This window comes from Homo sapiens, chromosome 14 (assembly GCF_000001405.40).
Source record: "Homo sapiens chromosome 14, GRCh38.p14 Primary Assembly".
Lineage (NCBI taxonomy): Eukaryota > Metazoa > Chordata > Mammalia > Primates > Hominidae > Homo > Homo sapiens.
In genome coordinates, this window is record NC_000014.9 from 39,238,782 (window position 1) to 39,264,277 (window position 25,496).

The following is a 25,496-nucleotide window of genomic DNA, read 5'->3' on the forward strand; positions in this document are numbered from 1 at the left end:
AGACCCTGTCTCAAAAAAAAAAAAAAAAAACCCAAAAAACAAAAAAACCTAGCTGATAGAGCTTTTTATTTGGCCCGAAGCTTTAGTATGCTGAAATTCCTAGAAGGTTAAATCATCTCTGAATATATAACATGGGAAAATTAATGATTAATACTTTCCATTGAAAAAAGGTTTATCTTTGATTGTATCATTATGGTTTATAATGAAAAGGTGCTATGATAAGTACTTTTACTCCCAAGCTGAACAAGCATGGTCGACTTGATACATGTATCACTTCCATATTACATATGCACCAGACCTCCTTTTTTGTATAGCCTCTGTGGTCACTGTTTGAAGGAGCATATTTTATTTAAAAATTCTGCTTTTCCCATCAGGGGCTATAGGACTGGACTTCTAATAGTCACTGGCCAGAATTGCTTGTCTGGCCTCTGCAGTTCCCAACTTTCCCTACTGCTTCTGGTGCCTTTAAAATGCCAGTCTAAGGCCAGGTGTGGTGGCTCATGCCTATAATCCCAGTGCTTTGGGAAGCTGAGGCAGGAGGAACACTTGAGACCAAGAGTTCGAGACTAGCCTGGGCAGCATAGCAAGAATACACACACACACACACACACAAATTAGTGGGGTGTTGTGGTACATGTTTGTAGTCCTAGCTACTTCAGAGGCTGAGGGAGGCAGAGGCAGGAGGACAGCTTGAGCCTGGAAGTTAGAGGTTACAGTGAGCTATGATTGCACTGCTGCACTCCAGCCTGGGCAACAGAGCAAGACTCTGTCTCTATTAAAAAACAAAAACAAAAACAAAAACAAAATCTATATCTTGAATTCATTGGAGGCATCCAATGCAGCCATACAAAAACTGACATCTTAGGTGTCATAAAAGGCAAAGAAAGCATTCTTTTTTATTTACTATACGTGAAAATAATGGTTCCACACAAAAGCAGTGTTTAATGTGTGCAGCCAGGGTGAAGTTTTAGGCACATTTAGTTTTGTGCATTTGATGTTTAGTTCATGCAGTTAGCTGTTTAAGGAACCACACTGTGGACCCACAGTCTGTCAGTTTCCAAATAGTTATGGCAACTGGAGAGCTGGACAAATCACAGTTGAGGTATAATGGTGCTGGATTAGAGGGCCAAAAGAAATATGTTCTTTAAAACTTTAACAGGGTTAGGAAATGCGCTGAGGGTGGATGGGTAAGCCTTCACCCTTGGGGCACAATCTGCCTGTGCTTGAACTGGGTGAAGAGGATCTCTGTTATCAAGGCAGCCCCAGAAAAGTAGAATGGAACCAAATCCTCCCTGAAGGACTTGTAGACCTTTACTATCATGATGAATCCATTTGTGGCCCTTCAGAGTTTAAACCGCCTGTCTGATTTTAACATCCTGAAAACATTGAATATGTCACTACTCCATCTAGCTTGGCTACCGCCGCCATTGCCTTGCCTTTTGATATCCCAGGTCTACTAGTGTAAATCTGCAGTTGACCTGGACAAGAAAGGTCGTTAAAGAACAGAAAAACGAATAAAATGAGTAAGTGGAACAGGTTTCCTTCTGAAGTTTGAAACAGTGACATTTTATGATTTGGCTCTTTGTTCCTTAAATAAATGCTCTTCTTTTGAATAACAAAAGAATATTATTTCACTCTTTTTTATATGGAAATTGATAGTCGAGTAATGTTTGCGATTCAGAGTAGATGAAAGCCAAGGACATGGGACAAAATTAGGTTCAATAATTATTATTGCTTTGATCATTCTTCCTCGATAATCTTTGTTCTTCATTTTGACAGAAAGGAAAGGAGTTTGGATATTTTCCCAGAGATGCAGTCCAGATTGAAGAGGTGTTCATATCTGAGGAAATTCAGATGTCAACGAAAGTGAGTAAACTCATTCTCAGTTGTTAATTGAATTTAAAATTTCTTGGTTAAAACAGTTTTCCCAGGTATCAGTGCCTATTGGTTATGTACCTTTTATAGTAAATGCATAAAATAGTTGGCCTGAGAACTTACTCTAGGAATAGCTTGAATATTTGAATAAAATTAAGTAAGACAAATTAGGTGACAGTAAAAGATTTTGCTTTCTGAACAATTAACAGACAGGCAGTAGAGTGTAATTGTTAAGAGCATGGATTCTGGAGATGGACTGAGTTTAAAGTCTGACTCAACCACTTACAAGCTATGTGGCCTGGTATGCCTCAATTTCCTTATCTGTAAAATGGGGGTGCTGAGTATAATATAGTGCTACCTTACATATATTGAAGAATAAATGAGTATATGTAAAGTACATAGAACAGCATTAAATGCTCAGTAAGTGTTATATATTATTACTAATGCTATTGTCTTACTAAGATAAAAGTTTATTTTCCACCACGCTCCTTAGTCTCATATCTGTACATCCTCTTTTGCTGTTGGAGTTTTTCATGAGCATGATAATGTTGGGCTTCAAGGGAATCAGGAGGTGGCTTTTCAATTAATAAACTTGGTTAGCTCATTTAATTCAGATTCTGGGTTAAGCCAATTTACCTTAAATAAGGTCAGCGAGAAGTGAGTCTATCTAGTTAAACAAACTGCCTATTTTCTGGCTCTTTCCCATCACAAACTCTGGGATTAGCTGTCTATTTACTGTATAATAATTGGTCCTGTCAGTTCTATCTCTAAAATATATCTGGAGTATATTGTCTTCTCTTCAATTCCATTTTCGCCCTAATTCAAGGCACCATCATCTCTTGGCTGGAAAGCAGTGGTACAATCAAACTGTACTACAGCCCAGAATTTCTGGGGCTCAAGCAATCCTCCCGCCTCTGCCTCACCAATGGCTGGGACTACAGGTGTGCCAACATGAGCAGCTTCATCTATTGATTAGAATACTAAGTAGCCTTCTAACTATACTTCTTGCCTATACTTTTGCCCTCTTTCAATCCATTCTCCAAACAGTAATGAATCTTGTAAAAACAAAAAATCTGATTATGTCATTCCTTTGGTTAAAGCCCTTTAGTGGCTTTTCACTGGACCTGGAATAAATCCCAGACTTCTTACCCTGGCTTCGCATTCCCACATGATCTGCTCCTGCCTCCTTTGCTGACCCTGTCTCTGGTGCCACTCTCCCCTCACTCACCATGATCCTGGCTAATCTGGACTTTTGACTGTTCTTAGAACATGCCAGGCTCTTTCCCAGCCTGGGGACCCAAACAGGCTATTTCTTCTGGTTGGAATGCTTTCCCCAAATACTTCACTTGGCTAGTTCCTTCTTATCCATTAGGCCTGAGATTAAACATCAGTGCCTCCTAGGAAACTTTTGGAAGCAAAGGATATGTTTTAATATCTGGATTGTGGTGATGGTAACACAAGTGTATACATTTGTTCAAAAGCATACATTCATTATATGCAGTTTATGTATACCAATTATACCTCAATAAAACTGAAATGAAAGTATGCTGAGTTTGAAAATTAAAAATAAAAACCAGTGCCTTGGAGAGGCCTTCCATGATGATTCTAAAGGAATTATTGCTTCTTAATCACAGCTTTCTGTTTATTTCCTTCATAGTACTTATTGCATTTTTTTTTTTTTTGAGATGGAGTTTCACCTCTTATTGCCCAGGCTGGAGTGCAATGGCATGATCTCTGCTCACTGCAACCTCCGCCTCCTGGGTTCAAGTGATTCTCCTGCCTCAGCCTTCCAAGTAGCTGGGATTACAGGCACCCACTGCCAAGCCTGGCTATTTTTTGTATTTTTAGTAGAGATGGGGTTTCACCATGTTGGTCAGGCTGGTCTTGAACTCCTGACCTCAAGTGATCCACTTGCCTCGGCCTCCCAAAGTGCTGGAATTACAGGTGTGAGCCACCACACCTGTCCTCATTTATTGCAATTTACAATTAGTTTTTTCTGTTGTTTACTGCAGAATCCCAGCACCTAGCACAGTGCCAGGCACAAAGTAGCACACAGATGCCTCAAATTCTTATGTCAAGTTCCCTGGGAAACAGATATTGAGATGAATCTTTGCATCCAAGAAGTTTGCTGGGTAGTACTCTTGGGAATAGCACCTGTGAAGAACAAAAGAAAAAGCGGGACTTGGCTGGGCATTGTGGCTCACATCTGTAATCCCAGCACTTTGGGAGGCTGAGATGGGCGGATCACTTGAGGTCAGGAGTTCAAGACCAGCCTGACCAACATGGTGAAACCCCGTCTCTACTAAAAATACAAAAATTAGCTGGGTGTGGTGGTGCACGCCTGTAATCCCAGCTACTTGGGAGGCTGAGGCAGGAGAATTGCTTGAACCCAGAAGGCGGAGGTTACAGTGAGCCAAGATTGCTCCACTGCACTCCAGCCTGGGTGACAGAGTGAAACTTTGTCTCAAAAAAAAAAAAAAAAGAAGACAAAGAAAAAAGAAGCATGACCAGGCAGACAGAGAAGTCAAATTGTGATGTAGTTGCAGTGAAGGTCTCAGTTGATTTCCTAAGGAGCTCTGGAGCTGCAATGGCCCTTTGGAGTTGTCTTTAATAGAGAGAGAGGCAAGACGATTTGGGCCTTTTATCCCCACATTTCTCATTGTATCTGGGGTACTGTAACTTTGGGCTGGGATATGGGAGTATTTACTAGAGACAGTTACTATTCTAAACACTTGACTCATTTAATCCTCACGACACCTCGGTAAAATAGGTACTGTCAGTTTCCCTGGAGGATTCAAGGAGGAAATTTCCCTCTGAAAGTCAGATGAAAAGTCAACTTGCAAAAGGAAGATTAATAAGTGAAAAGGCATACAAATTTATTTGATCACAATTTTACGTGACACACGAAACTTCAGAATGAAGAACCAGGCTGGGGGTGGTGGCTCATGCCTGTAATCCCAGCAGTTTGGGAGGCCAAGGCAGGTGGATCATCTGAGGTCAGGAGTTTGAGACCAGCCTGACCAATACGGTGAAACCACGTCTTTACTAAGAATACAAAAATTAGCCAGGTGTGGTGATGTGCGCCTGTTTTCCCAGCTACTTGGGAGGCTGAGACAGGAGAATTGCTTGAACCCGGGAGGCAGAGGTTGCAGTGAGTGGAGATCATGCCACTGCACTCCAGACTGGGCAACAGAACGAGACTCCATCTCAAAAAACAAACAGAAAAAAGAATGAAGACCCGAAGATACAGAGGAAACTGTCCATTTTTATGCTTAGCTTCAATAAAGTATGGATAGCCCTGTAGAGATATGACTGAACAAAAAGGGTATGATCTAATGCAGTAGACTGAGTGGGGGAACCCAGAAAAGCCTGTCTGTCTGGATTCTTCTTGGCTTTGCTGAGCATGCATTGCATCTTTCTGGCTATAGGGCAGGGCCTTCCCTGGAATGGGGGTCTTACGCCCTACAATCAAACAAGGTAGGTCAGATAATTTATAAATAGCTTTGCATAGAAAAGAGGAGGAAAAATTAGAGTAATAATTTTAGATTATATGGCTGGCTTTGGAGAAAAGGGGTTCTGGTTTCTATGACCTGCCTTGGGAAAGGGGGATTCTACTTTCTATGACTAGCCTCAGGGGAAAATGAGACTGAGAGGTGGAGAATAGGAGAAGGTCAGAAAATAATTTTGCTTCTGATGCCTTCATTTCAGGGGTATTTCTGAGCCCCAACATCCCCATCTTACAGATGAAGGAGATTGAGGCATAGAAAGATCATAAAATTCACCCAAGTTCACAGAGGTAGTAGATGGCAGGGTTGGGCATTGAAGCCAAAGGGTTTGACTCCAGAGTCTGTTCTTAATCATGTACTAGACTGCAGTGCCAAGTATATATTGTAAAATTGCAATTCTGAAGCTTATTCTTTAAAAAACCTAAACTTTATTCTCATTTCCTAATGGTAATATCCAAAGGCAGCACACATCGCTATTTCTAACATTCAGATTAAAAAAAAAGTCTTCATCATGTTTCTTCTTAATGATTTGGTGGTTCTGTGAGATGAGCAAGTAGATCCTCACTTCCATTGGCTGTATGCAATATCTCAATAAATAAAGTCAAATTGTTTTAGTGCAACTTTTTTTTTTTTTTAAACAGGTCTCACTCTGTCACCAAGGCTGGAGTGCAGTGGTGCAATTATAGTCCACGGGAGCCTCAACCTCCCAGGCTCAAGTGATCTTCCCACCTCAGCCTCCAGAGTAGCTGGGACTACAGCGCATGCCACTATGCCTGGCTAATTTTTGTATTTTTTTGTAGAGACAGGGGTTCTCCATGTTGCCCAGGCTGGGTATAAACTCCTGGGCTCAAGCAGTCTGCCCACCTCAGCCTCCCCAAGCACTGGGATTACAGGCATGGGCCGCCGCACCTAGCTAACCTTTTTTTTTTTTAAAGACAGGATCTTGCCTTGTTGCTTAGGCTGGAATGAAGTGGTGCAATCATGGCTCACTGCAGCTTGACCTCCTGGGCTCAAGCAGTCCTCCTGCCTTGGCCTCCCAAAGTGCTGGAATTACAGGCATAAGCCACTGTGTCCAGCGTTTTGGTGCAACTTTTAACAAGGTTTTCATGCTTTAGAGCAGAGGTGTCCAATCTTTTGGTTTCCCTGGGCCACCCTGGAAGAAGAAGAATTAATTGTCTTGTGCCACACATAAAATACACTAATATAGCTGATGAGCTAAAAAGAAATATTGCAAAAAAAAAATCCCATAGTATTTTTTAAAAGTTTATGAATTTTTGTTGGGCCACATTCAAAGCCATCCTGGGCTGCATGCAGCCTGTAAGCTGCAGGTTGGACAAGCTTGCTTTAGAGTCTCTGGTCTGTCTGAGCTATAACCATATGCTGTGAAATTCCCCTCTTAGTCAATGTTGTGCTGCTATAACAGAATACCAGAGACTGGATACCTTACAAAGAAAATAAATTTATTTCTCACAGTTCTGAAGGCTGAGAAGTCTTCTTGATGCAACATCTCATACTGGAAGGCAAGATGGGGAGAAAGCGAGAGAGAGAGAGCAAGACAGGCGCTGAACTGGTGGTCCTTTTATAAGGGAACCCACTCCTGTGATAACAAGCCCGCTCATGTAGTAATGGCATTAATCCCACCCATTCTGCCCTTATGGACTGATCACCTCTCACCAGGCCTCACCTGTCAACAATATTGCATTTGGGATTAAGTTTCCAATATATGGTTTTTGGGGACACAGTCAAACCATAGAACCCTACCTCAAATCAAGGCAAACACACATGTGTTCAGTCAGTGTGTTCTTAGGAGGTACAAGATTTTGTGGATATGCATGCCTTTTCATCAGATTTTGTTTGCAGAATACACTGAAAGCATTGATTGCCTCTGCTTCTCAAACATTTCAATTATTTTTAAAAATTTTTATTTATTTATTTATTTATTTATTTATTTTGAGACAGAGTCTCACTCTGTCACCCAAGCTGAAATGCATTGGTGCGATCTTGGCTCACTGCAACCTCTGCCTCCTGGGTTCAAGCAATTCTCCTGCCTCAGCCTCCTGAGTAGCTGGGACTACAGGCGCCCACCACCATGCCTGGCTAATTTTTGTATTTTTTAGTAGAGATGGGTTTCGCCATGTTGGCCAGGCTGGTCTCGAACTCCTAAGCTCAGGCAATCCACCCGCCTGAGCCTCCCTAAGTGCTGGGATTACAGGCGTGAGCCACCATACCTGGCCCCAAAATTCCAACTATTTAATAACAAATAAATCATAATGGGCCTGGGGCAGTGGCTCACATCTGTAATCCCAGTGCTTTGGAAAGCTGAGGCAGGATGAATGCTTGAGGCCAGAAGTTCAAGTTCAGCCTGGGCAACATAGCGAGACTCTATCTTCACAATTTTTAAAAATTAGCTGGGTATAGTAACAGCTACTTGGGAGGCTGAGGAGGGAGGATTGTTTGAATCCTGGAGTTCAAGCAAGCTGTGAGCTCTGCTCCAGCCTGGGAGCAGAGCAAGACCCTGTCTCTAAAAACAAACAAAGAAACAAAAAACCATAATGTAAAAGGTTTTTCATTTAGGTTTACATAATTAGCCTTGAAGTCAGTTGTGATACAAGTGTTTGAGTTTTTGCTCTGCTGTTGAGCTAGTCATGTGTCTTGGGAATATCACAATCATCCATTTTAAATGACTCAGGGAGAAACAAGGAGCTCTAGTACATTCATGTTAATCATATATATATTTTTTCCTTTTAGGAATCTGACTTTCTTTGTCTTCTTGGAGTAAGTTACACATTTGACAATGAAGATAGTGAATTAAACGGTGATTATGGTGAAAATATATATCCTTATGAAGAAGATAAAGATGAAAAATCTAGTATATATGAAAGTGATTTTCAGATAGAACCTGGATTTTATGCAACTTATGAAAGTACTTTGTTTGAAGACCAAGTTCCAGCATTAGAGGCTCCTGAAGATATCGGAAGTACCAGTGAATCAAAAGACTGGGAAGAAGTAGTTGTTGAAAGTATGGAACAGGATCGTATTCCAGAAGTGCATGTCCCACCATCTTCAGCTGTGTCTGGAGTCAAAGAATGGTTTGGATTGGGAGGAGAACAAGCTGAAGAGAAGGCTTTTGAATCAGTTATTGAACCTGTACAAGAAAGCTCATTTCGGAGTAGAAAAATAGCAGTGGAAGATGAGAATGACCTAGAGGAATTAAATAATGGTGAGCCTCAAACAGAACATCAGCAAGAATCTGAATCAGAAATTGATTCAGTGCCAAAGACACAGTCTGAACTAGCATCTGAGTCAGAGCACATTCCCAAACCTCAATCCACTGGTTGGTTTGGTGGAGGATTTACAAGTTATTTAGGTTTTGGAGATGAGGATACAGGGCTTGAATTAATAGCTGAAGAAAGCAATCCACCACTACAAGATTTTCCCAATTCCATATCATCTGATAAAGAAGCCACAGTTCCATGTACAGAAATATTAACAGAAAAAAAAGACACAATCACTAATGATAGCTTGAGTCTCAAGCCAAGTTGGTTTGATTTTGGTTTTGCTATACTAGGCTTTGCATATGCCAAGGAAGATAAAATTATGTTAGATGACAGGAAAAATGAAGAAGATGGTGGGGCAGATGAACATGAACATCCTCTAACAAGTGAATTAGACCCTGAAAAAGAACAAGAAATAGAAACGATAAAAATTATAGAAACAGAAGATCAAATAGACAAGAAACCAGTCTCAGAAAAAACAGACGAATCTGATACTATACCATATTTGAAAAAGTTCTTGTATAATTTTGACAACCCTTGGAACTTCCAGAACATTCCAAAGGAAACAGAATTGCCATTTCCCAAACAGATACTGGATCAAAATAATGTAATTGAAAATGAAGAAACTGGAGAATTTTCCATTGATAATTATCCCACAGATAATACAAAAGTTATGATATTCAAAAGTTCATACAGTCTGTCAGGTTGGTATGAAAATATTTACATTAGAATTTATTTTATTTTTAAACATAATTTATTTTTATAAGTGCAAATCAGATGAAAAAGTCCAGGAATCCACGTTTTTCAGAATACTTAGCTCTTTCATCAATTTCCAGTTTACTCTGGAATTTAGATCTTAATATTATAAAATAAAATCTCAACAGAAAAACAATGATTGGAGATCTAAAGATGCTCCAAGAAAATCTTAAAGTATTTTACAATAAATTTTAATTTTTATCAGAATATTGTATGTAAATAGTTTAAAATTTGAAATAGTGCTAAGGCATTTTTTTTTTTTGACAAAAGCAATTTCTGTTCTCTCCATCTACCTCCACTCCCACTGCTTTCCCAGAGACAGTAATTTTCTTTTTTTGTTTTTAAAGCAGTATCTTTTTAGTATTTAAGAGTTTTCTAAATAGAATCTTTATACTGTCCTGCTTTGATTATCCTATTTTAGATAATGTCTATTGATTTCCTATTCTGGTAGGTGTGGATTTTCTCATTCACATTCGCTTTTTAGCCCAATAACACCTTCCCAATACAACTATATTTGAACGATTTTCTTAGAAACCTAAGCTAAGGGAAACTTTTTTTTTTTTCCAGACAGGGTCTCACTTTATCGTCTAAGCTGGAGTGCAGTGGCATGATCTCAGGTCACCGCAGCCTCGACCTCCTGGGCTCATGCAATTCTCTCACCTTAGCCTCCCAAGTAGCTGGGACTATGGCCATGTGCCAACACAGCCGCTAATTTTTGTATTTTTTGTAGAGACGGGGTTTCACTATGTTGTCCATGGTGGTCTCGAACTCCTGAGCTCAAGCGATCTGCCCCACTCAGCCGCCCAAACTGCTAGGATTACAGGTGTGAGCCATCGTGCCTGGCCAGCTAAAGGAAAGTTTAATTAAATAGTTTTGATTATTAAATTAGATCTTATTCTAGGTCTGCAGTTTTGTTTTTCCTAAGAAGAACTAGGATAACAAGAGTTTTCTTTTGTTTTTGTTTTGAGACAAGGTTTCACTCTGTCACCTACACTGGAGTGCAGTGGTGCGATCACAGTTCACTGCAGTCTCAATCTCCAGGGCTCAATCTATCCCTCGACCTCAGCCTCCTGAGTAGCTGGGACTACAAGTCTGCACCATTACACCCAGCTAATTTATTTTTATATGTCGTGGAGATGGGGTCTCCTTATGTTGTCCAGGCTGGTCCCAACTCCTAGGCTCAAGGGATCCTCCCACTTCAGCCTCTCAAAGTGCTGGGAATACAGGCTCAAGGGATCCTCCCACTTCAGCCTCTCAAAGTGCTGGGAATACAGGCATGAGCTACCGTGCCCAGCTGATAACAAGGGTTTTCTTTAAGTTTCAAGGTAATAAGAAAACTCAAGCAAAAAAAAAAAGGGAAAAAGTTTTCAACTTTCTCCCTCAAGTCCCTGAATTCTGAGAGTTCAACAGTGGGCAACAGAATATAAGATAATACTTTCAGATCTAGATGTCCAGGTATCTAGCAACTTCTATGATTAAAAACATGTGGATGGTATTTTAAGTAGAAAACTTTATGACTTTCCGACATCTCCATCCTTATGACTCTATGATGGACAGAATATAAATGCAGCAAATATTGACCAATAATACAAAAACAAACCCTAGAATGACAGAAAACCTTTTACAGGAAGAGGGCAACAAACTCAGAAGGAAACACATTTCCATTAGAACCAGGTGATTTTTTTGAATTTCCAGAACTATACGTAATACCTTAACATTCCCTAAAATGTGAGCTCTCTACTCAACATCCTCAACCAACATATAGATATTTAGATTCTAACCCTTTTCCAAATGAGAAAGGTGTAGGCGTGATGCTTTTTATGACTAAAAAGCTTAGAGACCTTTTTAGGTTGTTAAAGGCTAATTAAAAGGTAAATTCTCTTGTTCTAAACTTGTTAGATCCTAAAGGAATATTTATGAAAAGGCAGATCACAGTAATTAGAAGGAAGACAGACTACAACCAAACAATATTAGATCCAGAAATCCAGATGATTCCAAAGATTGATATATAAAAATATTTTAGAGCACAATCATAGAAACTCAAGGAATACAAAAGGATTTCACAAAAAAATCACTTTCGTACATTTTATTTAGCTGGGAGTGTTGGTGTGATCCTATAGTCCCAGCTACTTGGGAGGCTGAGGTGGGAAATCACTTGAGCCTAGGAGTTCGAGGCCGGCCTGGGCAACACAGTGACACTTTTTCTCTAAAGAAAATATTGGCGGGGTGTGGTGGCTCATGCCTGTAATCCTAGCACGTTGAGAGGCCGAGGCAGGCAGATTACTTGAAGTCAGGAGTTTGAGACCAGCCTAGCCAACATGATGAAACCCTGTCTCTACTAAAAATAGAAAAATTAGCTGGGCATGGTGGTGTGCCCCTGTAATCCCAGCTACTTGGGAGGCTGAGGCATGAGAATCACTGGACCCCGGGAGGCGGAGGTTGCAGCGAGCTGAAATTGCGCCACTGCACTCCAGCCTGGGCAATAGAGTGAGACTCAGTCTCAAAAAAAAATATGCATATATATATATATATATATATATTTAAAATTTATCATTTTATATAGAGATACTGGAAGAATTTCTAAAATTGGTAAATAGTTAAATGACAATAGGATGTTCCTGCAATTTTAACTAGTTTTGAGGAACTTTTATGAAAATATTCAGAAATTATTTTAAATTTCAGAAAAAAAGACGTCATTTATTAACAAAGTGGGCTATTCCAAAACACTACAATATTAAATAAGAATTGAATGAAAAGCAACACGAGATCATGCAAAAATTTGTTTTTAAAAAAGCATCCTAAAAGAGAGATTTCTATAAAGCCACAGGCCCTATATTCTGGATATTAGAGAAAGAGTTAAACAGCCAATCTTTTCTGAAGATTCCAACAACTCTTTCAGGGAATAACAAATGAAAACTTGCTGTAATTATAGTGCATAAGCAAGATGAATCACTGATCTTGAATCTCTGTGAAAGGCTCAGACTTGAGATAACCACATTTATAGAAAACTAACATATTGATTTAGGAATTTACAAAACGGGTAAACTAGGGAACGGTTATTTATATTACAATGTGCATAACGATTTTACAAAAGGATTCCAATTGTGCATACTTAAATAATGAGTCTCCCCAGTACAGTTAAATATTAAAAATTATTATTTTGACTTAAAATTCTGCTAATAAGCAATGATAAAAGCATATCTGTATTTAATATAAATCTTAAAGCTTAGGTTTAAATGTGTAAATAATATCTAAAAATATAATTAAATATGAAAATAGTATAGGGAATATTCATTTTTCTTATATATTTATTTCAAATGCAGTTTAAAACAGTATTTTAAAATAATCAATATAGCTACATATAAATTTGAGTATAATTATTGAATAATCCTTTTTTTCTTATAGCATAAAACATTATTGTAGATCACTACTTGAGTCCTGTATGTACAATAATCCCTTTGAATACAGACTCCTGATTTGTATGCTCTTGTTAAGTATTATCATCCACAGGTGCTATTACTAAATTACTGGTATGTGTTTGCTCAATTGGGACTTTCATCTTTTAAACAATGATAAATAAATGAAACTGTCAAAGTGCTATGTTAAGACTCACAAGCTCAAAGAGCAAAATTAGACATTGAACAATTCACTTACTACTCTTTATTATTGTTTTTCAGGACCACACTGATACTTTTTTTAAGATATTACACCTTCTGTTTAACAAATGCATACATAGCAGGAATGAAATCTGAAGGGAATCTATGTGCTGCCTTATTCTTAGTCATATATACTATATATGTACATATATAGTACAACAGAATTGTTGACAGTTATGTTAGTTTTAGGGTTTTTTAAAAGTAATTTTTAGGACAAAAAGGCACGTTAGAGAATAGAATTATATATAGCTTTTGTAATTCTTCCTTGGCTGAGGAATAAAGAAAAGGCTATGTAGTAGGCTGAATAAAAGCCCCCTAAAAGATGTCTATATCTTAACCCCCAGACCCTGAGAATATGTTACTTTACATGGTGGAAAGGACCTTGCAGATGTGATTAGGGATCTTGAAATGGAGAGATTATCCTTGTGTGTCTAATATAATTACAAGGCTACTTATAAGAGGAAGGCAGGGGTATCAGAGTAAGACAGAGATTAGAAGATGCTACACTGCTGGCTTTGAAAATGGAGGATGGGGCCATGAGTCAAGGAATGCAGGAGGCCTCCAGAAAGCAGAAAAAGCAAGGAAATAGATTCTGCCCTAGAGCCTCCTGAAGGAATGCAGCCTTGACAACTTTAACACCTTGGTTTTAGAATTTCTGACTTCCAGAACTCTAAGAGGATACATTTGCATTGTTTAAACCACTAAGTTTTGGTAATTTATCTTACTAGCAATAGGAACTAATACAGGATACAATTTATGTTTTAGTGTGTCCTTTCTTTAACGAAGTATCATAATGACCTACAAAAGTTCAGAAAAATGACCTGCCTAGAAAACAAAAGGGGAGCCCTCAACAAAGCAAGTATTTTGGAAAAACACATTTCTTTTTATTTATTTGTAGATATGGTCTCTAACATAGAGTTACCTACGAGAATTCACGAAGAAGTATATTTTGAACCCTCATCTTCTAAAGATAGTGATGAAAATTCGAAACCATCAGTAGACACCGAAGGGCCTGCTCTGGTGGAGATAGACAGATCTGTGGAAAATACCCTGCTAAATAGTCAGATGGTTTCAACTGATAACTCTTTGTCTTCTCAAAATTATATTTCTCAGAAAGGTAAGAAACAGGTTATTTATTCTCTAATGCATCAATTAAGGAAGAAATTAGAATCAGAAGTTATATAATATCATGCTAACATATTTTTATTTATAAATCAACAGAAGATGCTTCTGAGTTTCAGATTCTGAAATACTTATTCCAAATTGATGTTTATGATTTCATGAATTCTGCATTTTCACCAATTGTAATTCTTACAGAAAGGGTAAGTTTGCCTTTTAAACCTTTTGCAATAATTTTACCTATTTTGCTAAATATAAGAGTGGCTACAAAATATGTTTGAATGAATCCTCCCTGTTTAATGTTTATATAATGTTTCTCTTTCCATGACATCTTACCTGTAAGATTTCTCTTTATATGAATGTTTTGTCAAATGGATATTGATTTTTAAAAACATTTCCCTAAGTTTTGTTGATGTTGATCTTGAGCGGTGTTTGCTTTTTACTCCACCCTCCCCATTTTTCAAATTAGGGAAAGTTAGGTACTAAATAAGTTAACTCAGGAATAATAGGAACTAGAGCTGGGTGTGGTGGTGTGTGCCTGGAGTTCCCACTACTTAGGAGGCTGAGGCAGGAGGATCCTTTTACTGAATGTAACAAGGAGAATAAAAGGGAAGAGTGAGCCCAAGGGTTTGAGACCAGTCTGGGCAACATAGCTAGACCTTATCTCTTAAAAAAGAAAAAAAAAAACCTAAACTAAAAAAAACTGAAAATGAAAAGCAACTTGTTTGTATTCAATTGAGAGTTGTAACCTCAAAATGGTATAATGTTGGAGTACAAAAGCAACTAATATATCAAAATTTAACCAAGCTGTAACTGAAATTCCAAATTCTATTTTCACTTGTAAATTTTACTATTAAATGAGATATTGCAAAAGGACTAGCTGTAGTACTTGGCATATAAGAGATCTTTTACAAATGTTCCTTTTCTCATCTACTGCTGTGATAGAAATAATTGAGGAAGCACTTTTATCTTCTTATTTATGTTCTAAGCTGAAATTTAATAGTGGTTGTCTTCAAGGAGCTCACTCTAGTTGGAGGACACAGATAAAAAAGTAATAATTTTAATATAGTGCTATAATAGTCACAGGGTGCTACTGATATGCAGGAGTAGCTGCCTAGTAGATTGATTGGGAGTGTTAGGTAGAGAGGGTGGGGAGAAGGAGCCTGGGAGAATGTCCCAGAGAAGATCATATTTGAGCTGATTTTGAAGGAAGAGTAGGAGTTAGCCAGACAAAGAAAGGATAGGCATTCTAGGTTGAGAAGAGCACTTTTAAAGTAGTGAAGTGGGAGAGAATATGGCACTTTTGGAGCACAATAAGCAATTGAGTTTGATTGAACATAGGCTGAAGTTGAAGAAGTACAGAGGGGTCAAATAATAGGGAGTTCAACTCTATCTTGTAGATGATGGGGCACTATTGAATTTTAAGCAGGGAGTAAAATGAAAAAGTTTGATTTATAAAGTCTATCAATGCTGTCAAATAAAGATTAAAGGGGTAAAGACCAGAGGCAGGGAGTCCAGTCAAGAAGCTGTTGCATTAGTTCTGAAAATGAGGAAATAGCGAAAATCCAAATCAGGGTATACTAACTCAAATGAAATGAGTGAAGTGTGGGTAAAGGTGAGAACTGTAGCCAACTAGAGATTGTATGCGCTGTCTAAAGGATAAAGGTACTACTTGCCTTCAGCCTAGTTTCCCAGATACTCTGATTTTCAAGAAAAGCTGGAAATCTGGATTTTTGTGTGTGAAATCTCACAATTTTTAATACTGGCAAATATTCAGAGTAAAATAAAACACCATGCAGTTCAGAAAAAGTATTCTGTGAGTGGGATTTGGCCCACTAACCACATTTTTTAGCCTCTGGTCTAACATCCGATGGTGGCAGTCGAAATGATTGGAAGGACAAATTGGATAGATCTTTTGTAGACAGAATCGTTGGATTTAATGACTGACTGAATGCAGCATGGAGAATTATAAGGAAAAGTGAGGATACCAGGTTTCCAGCTCAGGGACCTGATAACTTATGAGGTTTCTAGCTTGGGGGACCTGTTAGATGGTGGTGCCATTGAGTCTTTGTGAAAACTGGGCTTAATAGCATACATCATTTTGCTTTCAGAGGCCTCTTCCTCACTTAATTTTTTTTTGCTTGATTCAAGAGAGTTGACATTACATGATAAATAAGCTTAGAGAAATCATTAATTTATTCTGTATGATTTGGTGTTGAAGATGTTGATTATAAAACGTTCATTAGGCTGGGCATGGTGGCTCAGGCCTACAGGCCTGAGTGTAATCCCAGCACTTTGGGAGGCCAAAGTGGGCCGATCAGTTGAGGTCAAGAGTTCAAGGCCAACCTGGCCAACATGGTGAAACCTCGTCTCTACAAAAAATACAAAAATTAGCTGGGCGTGGTGGCGCGCATCTATAATCCCAGCTACTTGAGAGGCTGAGACACAAGAATTGCTTGAACCTGGGAAGCGGAGGTTGCAGTGAGCCAAGATCATGCCACTGCACTCCAGCCTGGGCCATAGAGTAAGACTCTGTCTCAAACAAACAAACAAAACAAAAACAGAAAAAGTTAGAAATCTGTCCCAGGTTAGGAGAAAAGAAAAACTAACAATAATGATAATTACAAAATAGTCCATAATAAAACTTTCAACTCCCCATGGAATTAATTCTACTTTTTGGTATGTCTTGCTGACCTCTTAATCCCCTCCTCCACAAATTATATGAATGAAGTTAAATAATTGAACAGATAATTTGCTGATCAACACATGATACTCACTTCTATATAAAGTGCTTATTTAATCAAGTCTATACTAAATATGCTTATTTTTGTGGACTCAGTAAACATAGTCAAATACATTTTACTTGGACAATTTTGGATGAAATTATTTAGACATGAAAATATTGAATTTAAATTTATGTTAATTATCTTGTGATCTTGGAAAGTCACTTATTGTCTGGGAAGGAGTTCCAGTTTGAAAATTCCAATAACAGAAGCTGAGATGAGATCACAGGCTGCTGGTCAAAACTGGCTTTGTATTGTCTAAGAAAATTATGAATCAGTTGTCAACATTTAAAAGGTGAGCTCATATTAAAATCTGAATTTCTGGGTTCTCTTGAAAAAGTAGAAGACTGTGATACATAGTTGCCAATTTTTCTGGAGCAAAAAGAAACTCAAGTTGGTTAGTGCTTGCTTACATAGACATGGACTCTCCATTTTCCTACATTTATGTCAACTGCTTGGTCTCTACAGGGCTTTAAGTTCATAATCTTCAGGCTAAATATTCTGAGAGTTCCTGCTAGATCTAGGATTCTAACAATGTGAATGTATCTATTAAGCACCCATAGTATAAATTTGAATAGCTGTAGTAAATGGAAAATTTGAGCAATTTTCCAGTTACATTTAGGTGAAAGGTTTCCTTTTCTTCTTGTCTAAATATTTTAGGTAATTCTTCCAATTCATTGTAGTTTCAGGTAGATTTTGTGCAGAACATACTTGCTTTGTAATGTTCAAGTACTAGGGATCAACACTACATTTTTCTTTTGAAAATTAAAATGATATTTCTTAAGTGATTCCATCACATCAAAAGCAATGGAAAATTAAAGGAGGCAGCTTTTTAAAAAAAAATAACAAAGAAATTATGAGAAAGCAAAAGGTTTTGGAAAAAAATGATTTTTAATTTTTAAGATTCCAAAAATGTGAAGAAATTGGAATCAGCACTACTGAAAACTGAATAAGTGTTTTGCAAGTTCAAATATAGAAACTATCTAAAAAAGAAAAATAAACATAAATAGGAATTATGAGTAAAAAAAGAAAATATAGAACAAGCCAAGAGACTTATGCCAAGAATAGAATTTCCAGAAGGAGAGAAGGTAAATGAAGAGAAGGAAGCAACAATTCAAGAAATTTTAGAAAGAAAACTTATCTGAGCTTTAACGGTAATCAAGTTGGTTTTGAGTGAGATTCTTAATCCTGAGTTCTAGTTTGATTGCACTGTGGTCTGAGAGACTGTTACGATTTCCATTCTTTTGCATTTGCTGAGGTGTGTTTCACTTCTAATTAAGTGTTATGTGGTACTGAGAAAAATATTCTGTTGATTTGGGTTAGAGAGTTCTGTAGATGTCTATTAGGTCGGCTTGGTCCAGAGCTGAGTTGAAGTCCTGAATAACCTTGTTAATTTTCTGTCTCGTTGATCTGTCATAATATTGACAGTGGGGCATCAAAGTCTCCCAGTATTATTGTGTGGGAGTCTAAGTCTCGTTGTAGGTCTCTAAGAACTTGCTTTATGAATCTGAGTGCTCCTGTATCGGGTGCATATATATTTAGGATAGTTAGCTCTTCATGTTGCATTTATCCCTTTACCATTATGTAATGCCCTTTTCTTTTTTTTGATCTTTGTTGGTTTCAAGACTGTTTTATCAGAGACTAGGATTGCAACCCTCCTTTTTTTTTGCTTTCCATTTGCTTGGTAAATCTTCCTCCATCCCTTTGTTTTGAGCCTATGTGTGTCTTTGCACGTGAGATGGGTCTCCTGAATACAGCACACTGATGGGTCTTGACTCTTTATCCAATTTGCCAGTCTCTGTCTTTTAATTGGGGTATTTAGCCCATTTACATTTAAGGTTAATATTGTTATGTGTGAATTTGATCCTGTTGTCATGATGCTAGCTGGTTATTTTGCATATTAGTTGATGCAGTTTCTTCATAGTGTCATTAGTCTTTATATTTTGGTGTGTTTTTGCAGTGGCTGGTACCAGTTTTTCCTTTCCATATTTAGTGCTTCTTTCAGGAGCCCTTGTAAGGCAGGCCTGTTGGTGACAAAATCCCTCAGCATTTGCTTGTCTGTAAAGGACTTTATTTCTCCTTCACTTTTGAAGCTTAGTTTGGCTGGATATGAAATTCTGGGTTGAAAATTGTTTTCTTTAAGAATGTTGAATATTGGCCCCCACTCTCTTCTGGCTTATAGGATTTCTGCAGAGAGATCTGCTGTTAGTCTGATGGGCTTCCCTTTGTAGGTAACCTGACCTTTCCCTCTGGCTGTCCTTAACATTTTTTCCTTCATTTCAACCTTGGTGAATCTAATGATTATGTGTCTTGGGGTTGCTCTTCTTGAGGAATATGCTAGTGGTGTTCTCTGTATTTCTTGAATTTAAATGTTGGCCTGCCTTGCTAGGTTGGGGAAGTTCTCCTGGATAATATCTGGAAGTGTGTTTTCCAACTTGGTTCCATTCTCTCCATTACTTTCAGGTACACCAACCAATCATAGATTTGGTATTTTCAAATAGTCCCATATTTCTTGGAGGTGTTGTTTGTTCCTTTTCATACTTTTTTCTCTAATCTTGTCTTCACGCCTTATTTTAGTAAGTTAATCTTCAGTCTCTGATATCCTTTCTTCCTCTTGATTGATTTAGCTATTGATATTTGTGTATGCTTCACGAAGTTCTTATGCTGTGTTTTTCAGCTCCATCAGGTCATTTGTTCCTCTCTAAAATAGTTATTTTAGTTAGCAGTTCCTGTAACCTTTTATCAAGGTTCTTGGCTTCCTTGCACTGGGTTAGAACATGCTCCTTTAGCTCAGAGGAGTTTGTTATTACCCACCTTCTGAAGCCTACTTCTGTCAATTCATCAATCTCATTCTCTGTTCAGTTTTGTGCCCTTGCTGGAGAGGACTTGCAATCATTTGGAGGAGAAGAGGCATTCTGGTTTTTGGAATTTTCAGCGTTTTTGTGCTGGTTTTTCCTTATCTTCATGGATTTATCTACTTCTGATCTTTGAGGCTGGTGACCTTTGGATGGGGTTTTTGTGTGGGGGTCCTTTATGTTGATGTTGATCTTGCTTTGTTTGTTAGTTTTCCTTCTAACAGTCAGGCCCCTCTTCTGCAGGTCTGCTGCAGTTTGCTGGAGGTCCACTCCAGACCCTGTTCGACTGGATATCACCAGTGGAGGCTGCACAACAGCAAAGACTGCTGTCTGCTCCTTCCTTTGGACACTTCATCAAGGGGCACCGGCCTGATGCCTGCCGGAGCTCTCCTGTATGAGGTGTCTGTTGACCCCTGTTGGGAGGTCTCTCCCAGTCAGGAGGCGCGGGGGTCAGGAACTTACTTGAGGAAGAAGTCTGCCCCTTAGCAGAGCTGGTGCGCTGTGCTGATAGAATCCCTCTTGTTAGGATCAGTTGCTCTCTTTAGAGCCGGCAGGCAGGAACGATTAAATCCACAGAAGCTCTGCCCACAGCCGCCCCTTCCCCCAGGTGCTCTGTCCCAGGGAAATGGGGGTTTTGTCTGTAAGCCCCTAACTGGGGCTCTTACCTTTCCTTCAGAGATGCCCTGACCAGTGAGGAGGAATCTAGAGAAGCAGTTCCACCCAGTCCAGACCGCCCAGCCAAGGAGGCAGATTTTGGACAGCTACTAGTATACTGACTCTCCTGATTCAACAATGGAAAGAGAAGGAGAGTATCTCTTTCAAATCTCCGCAAGGAGCCTTGGCAAGAGTAATCTGAAAATTTAATGGATGTCTTTTGAAAATTTATTTCCCGTTAGCACTTTTCTTTTCTCTCTCTCTCTTTCTCTTTTTTTTCTATTTTTTGAGACAGGGTCTTGCTCTGTCACCCAGGGTGGAGTACAGTGGCCCTATCACAGCTCACTGCAGCCTCAGCCTGCTGGGCTGAAGCAATCTTCCCACCTCAGGCACCTGAGTAGCTGGGATTACAGGCATGTGCCACCATGCCTGGCTAGGTTTTTTTTTTTTTTTTTTTTTTTTAAATACTTTAAGTTCTAGGGTACATGTGCACAACATGCAGTTTTGTTACATGTGTATACATGTGCCGTGTTGGTTTGCTGCACCATTAACTCATCATTTACATTAGGTATCTCTCCTAATGCTATCCCTCTCCTATCCCCCCGCCAACATGACAGGCCCCGGTGTGTGATGTTCCCCACTCTGTGTCCAAGCGTTCTCATTGTTCAATTCCCACCTATGAGTGAGAACATGCGGTGTTTGGTTTTCTGTCCTTGCAATAGTTTGCTCAGAATGATGGTTTCCAGCTTCATCCATGTCCCTGCAAAGGACATGAACTCACCCTTTTTTATGGCTGCATAGTATTCCATAGTGTATATGTGCCACATTTTCTTAATCCAGTCTGTCATTGATGGACATTTGGGTTGGTTCCAAGTCTGCTATTGTGAATAGTGCCGCAGTAAACATACGTGTGCATGTGTCATTATAGTAGCTTGATTTATAATCCTTTGGGTATATACCCAGTAATGGGATCCCTGGGTCAAATGGTATTTCTAGCTTTAGATCCTTGAGGAATCGCCACACTGTCTTCCACAGTGGTTGAACTAGTTTACAGTCCCACCAACAGTGTAAAAGCATTCCTATTTCCCCACATCCTCTCCAGCACCTGTTGTTTCCTGACTTTTTAATGATCACCATTTCAACTGGTGTGAGATGGTATCTCATTGTGGTTTTGATTTGCATTTCTCTGATGGCCAGTGACGATGAGCATTTTTTCATGTGGCTGTTGGCTGCATAAATGTCTTCTTTTGAAAAGTGTCTGTTCATATCCTTTGCCCACTTTTTGATGAAATGGTTTGATTTTTTCTTGTAAATTTTATTAAGTTCTTTGCAGATTCTGGAAATTAGACCTTTGTCAGATGGGTAGATTGCAAAAATTTTCTCCCATTCTTTAGGTTGCCTGTTCACTCTGATGGTAGTTTCTTTTTCTGTGCAGAAGCTCTTTAGTTTAATTAGATCTCATTTGTCAATTTTGGCTTTTGTTGCCATTGCTTTTGGTGTTTTATTCATGAAGTCCTTGTCCATGCCTATGTCCTGAATGGTATTGCCTAGGTTTTCTTCTAGGGTTTTTATGGTTTTAGGTCTATCATTTAAATCTTTAATCCATCTTGAGTTAATTTTTGTATAAGGTGTAAGGAAGGGATCCAGTTTCAGCTTTCTACATATTGCTAGCCAGTTTTCCCAGCACCATTTATTAAATAGGGGATCCTTTCCCCGTTTCTTGTTTTTTTTTCTTTTTTTAAATTATACTTTAAGTTCTGGGGTACATGTGCACAACATGCAGGTTTGTTGCATATGTATACATGTGCCATGTTGGTGTGCTGCACCCATTAACTTGTCATTTACATTAGGTATATCTCCTAGTGCTTTTCCCTCCCCCTCCCCTCACCCCACGACAGGCTCTGGTGTGTGATGTTCCCCTTCCTGTGTCCATGTGTTCTCATTGTTCAATTCCCACCTATGAGTGAGAATATGCGGTGTTTGGTTTTTTGTTCTTGCGATAGTTTGCTCAAAATGATGGTTTCCAGCTTCATCCATGTCCCTACAAAGGACATGAACTCATCCTTTTTTATGGCTGCATAGTATTCCATGGTGTATATGTGCCACATTTTCTTAATCCAGTCTATCATTGTTGGACATTTGGGTTGGTTCCAAGTCTTTGCTAATGTGAATAGTGCTGCAATAAACATACGTGTGCAGGTGCCTTTATAGCAGCATGATTTATAATCCTTTGGGTATATACCCAGTAATAGGATGGCTGGGTCAAATGCTATTTCTACTTCTAGATCCTTGAGGAATCGCCAGACTGTCTTCCACAATGGTTGTACTAGTTTACAGTCCCACCAACAGTGTAAAAGCATTCCTATTTCTCCACATCCTCTCCAGCACCTGTTGTTTCCTGACTTTTTAATGATCACCATTTTAACTGGTGTGAGATAGTATCTCATTGTGGTTTTGATTTGCATTTCTCTGATGGCCAGTGATGATGAGCATTTTTTCATGTGTCTGTTGGCTGCATAAATGTCTTCTTTTGAGAAGTGTCTGTTCATATCCTTCACCCACGTGTTGATGGGGTTGTTTATTTTTTTCTTGTACATTTGTTTGAGTTCTTTGTAGACTCTGGATATTAGCCCTTTGTCAGATGAGTAGATTGCAAAAATTTTGTCCCATTCTGTAGGTTGCCTGTTCACTCTGATGGTAGTTTCTTTTGCTGTGCAGAAGCTCTTTAGTTTAATTAGATCCCATTTGTTAATTTTGGCTTTTGTTGCCATTGCTTTTGTTGTTTTAGACATGAAGTCCTTGCCCATGCCTATGTCCTGAATGGGATTGCCTAGGTTTTCTTCTAGGGTTTTTACGGTTTTAGGTCTAATTTTTAAGTCTTTAATCCATCTTGAATTAATTTTTGTATAAGGTGTAAGGAAGGGATCCAGTTTCAGCTTTCTACATATGGCTAGCCAGTTAGCTTTCTACATATGGCTAGCAGTTTTCCCAGCACCATTTATTAAATAGGTTATCCTTTCCCCATTTCTTGTTTTTGTCAGGTTTGTCAAAGATCGGATGGTTGTAGATGTGTAGTGTTATTTCTGAGGCCTGTGTTCTGTTCCATTGGTCTATATCTCTGTTTTGGTACCAGTACCATGCTGTTTTGGTTACTGTAGCTTTGTAGTATAGTTTGAAGTCAGGTAGCATGATGCCTCCAGCTTTGTTCTTTTTGCTTAGGACTGTCTTGGCAATGTGGGCTCTTTTTGGTTCCATATGAACTTTAAAGTAGTTTTTTCCAATTCTGTGAAGGAAGTCATTGATAGCTTGATGGGGATGGCATTGAATCTATAAATTACCTTGGGCAGTATGGCCATTTTCACAATATTGATTCTTCCTATCCATGAGCATGGAATGTTCTTCCATTTGTTTGTGTCCTCTTTTATTTCAATGAGCAGTGGTTTGTAGTTCTCCTTGAAGAGGTCCTTCACATCCCTTGTAAATTGGATTCCTAGGTATTTTATTCTCTTTGAAGCAATTGTGAATGGGAGTTCACTCATGATTTGGCTCTCTGTTTGTCTGTTATTGGTGTATAAGAATGCTTGTGATTTTTGCACATTGATTTTGTATCCTGAGACTTTGCTGAAGTTGCTTATCAGCTTAAGGAGATTTTGGGCTGAGATGATGGGGTTTTCTAAATATACAATCATGTCACCTGCAAACAGGGGCAATTTGACTCCCTCTTTTCCTAACTGAATACCCTTTATTTCCTTCTCTTGCCTGATTGCCCTAGCCAGAACTTCGAACACTGTGTTGAATAGGAGTGGTGAGAGAGGGCATCCCTGTCTTGTGCCAGTTTTCAAAGGGAATGCTTCCAGTTTTTGCCCATTCAGTATGATATTGGCTGTGGGTTTGTCATAAATAGCTCTTATTATTTTGAGATATGTTCCATCAATACCTAGTTTATTGAGAGTTTTTAGCATGAAGGGCTGTTGAATTTTGTCGAAGGCCTTTTCTGCATGTATTGAGATAATCATGTGGTTTTTGTCTTTGTTTCTGTTTATGTGATGGATTACATTTATTGATTTGTGTATGTTGAACCAGCCTTGCATCCCAGGGATAAAGCCAACTTGATCTTGATGGATTGTTCTTTTTTTTTTTTTTCTAAATTTTTTGTAGAGACGAGAGCTCACTATCTTGCCCAGGCCAGTCTGGAGCTCCTGAGCTCAAGGGAATCCTTCTGCCTTAGTCTCCCAGAGTGCTAGGATTACAGGCTTGAGCCATCATGCCCAGCATCTTTCTTTTCTTTTCTTTCTTCTTTTCCTTTCCTTTCCTTTCCTTTCCTCTTATTTTCTCTTTTCCTTTATTTTCCTTCCTTCCTCTCTCTCTCTCTCTTTTTTTTTTTTTTCTGAGACAGAGTTTCACTCAGTCACCGAGGCTGGAGTGCAGTGGTGTGATCTCAGCTCACTGCAATCTCGGCCTCCTGGGTTCAAATGATTTTCCTGCCTTAGCTTCCCAAGTAGCTGGGATTACAGGTGCACACTACCATGCCCAGCTAATTTTTTGTATTTTTTAGTAGAGACGGGGTTTCACCATGTTGGCCAGGCTGGTCTCGAACTCCTGACCTCGAGTGATTCGCCCGCCTTGGCCTCCCAAAGTGCTGGGATTATAGGTGTGAGCCAACCACGCCCAGCCCTTCCTTTCTTTCTTATTTCCATGTTTATTTTGGATTCAAGGGGTACATGTACAGGTTTGTTACAAGGGTTGATTTCGTGATGCTGAGATTTGGGCTTCTATTGATTCTGTCATCCAGATAGTGAACATAATATTCAGTGGGAAGTTTTTCAGTCCTTGACCTGCTCCCTTCCTCATTTTTGAGTCCCTAGTGTTTATTTTTCTCATCTTTATGTCTGTACGTACCCAAGATTTAGCTGCCACTTATAAGTGAGAACATGTGATATTTGGTTTTCAGTTTCTACGTTAATTCGCTTAGGATAATGGCCTCCATCTGCATCCACGTTGCTGCAAAGAATGTGAC

General features: G+C 38.9%; 1 protein-coding gene across 12 annotated transcripts in view; it reads left to right on the top strand.

The window, feature by feature from the left end:
* Nucleotides 1–25,496, top strand: part of MIA2 (MIA SH3 domain ER export factor 2) — a 154,608-nt gene that overhangs the window by 4,867 nt on the left and 124,245 nt on the right. For 11 of the 12 annotated variants that reach the window (XM_024449592.2, XM_024449595.2, XM_024449594.2 and 8 more), the window contains 4 exons: nucleotides 1,780–1,866; nucleotides 8,130–9,360; nucleotides 13,967–14,185; nucleotides 14,290–14,390. In XM_024449592.2, coding sequence (XP_024305360.1) covers nucleotides 1,780–1,866; nucleotides 8,130–9,360; nucleotides 13,967–14,185; nucleotides 14,290–14,390 — 1,638 coding nt within the window. Of the gene's footprint in view, nucleotides 1–1,779; nucleotides 1,867–8,129; nucleotides 9,361–13,966; nucleotides 14,186–14,289; nucleotides 14,859–25,496 lie in introns of those variants that run through there. The other variant, NM_054024.4, reaches the window with a different exon arrangement.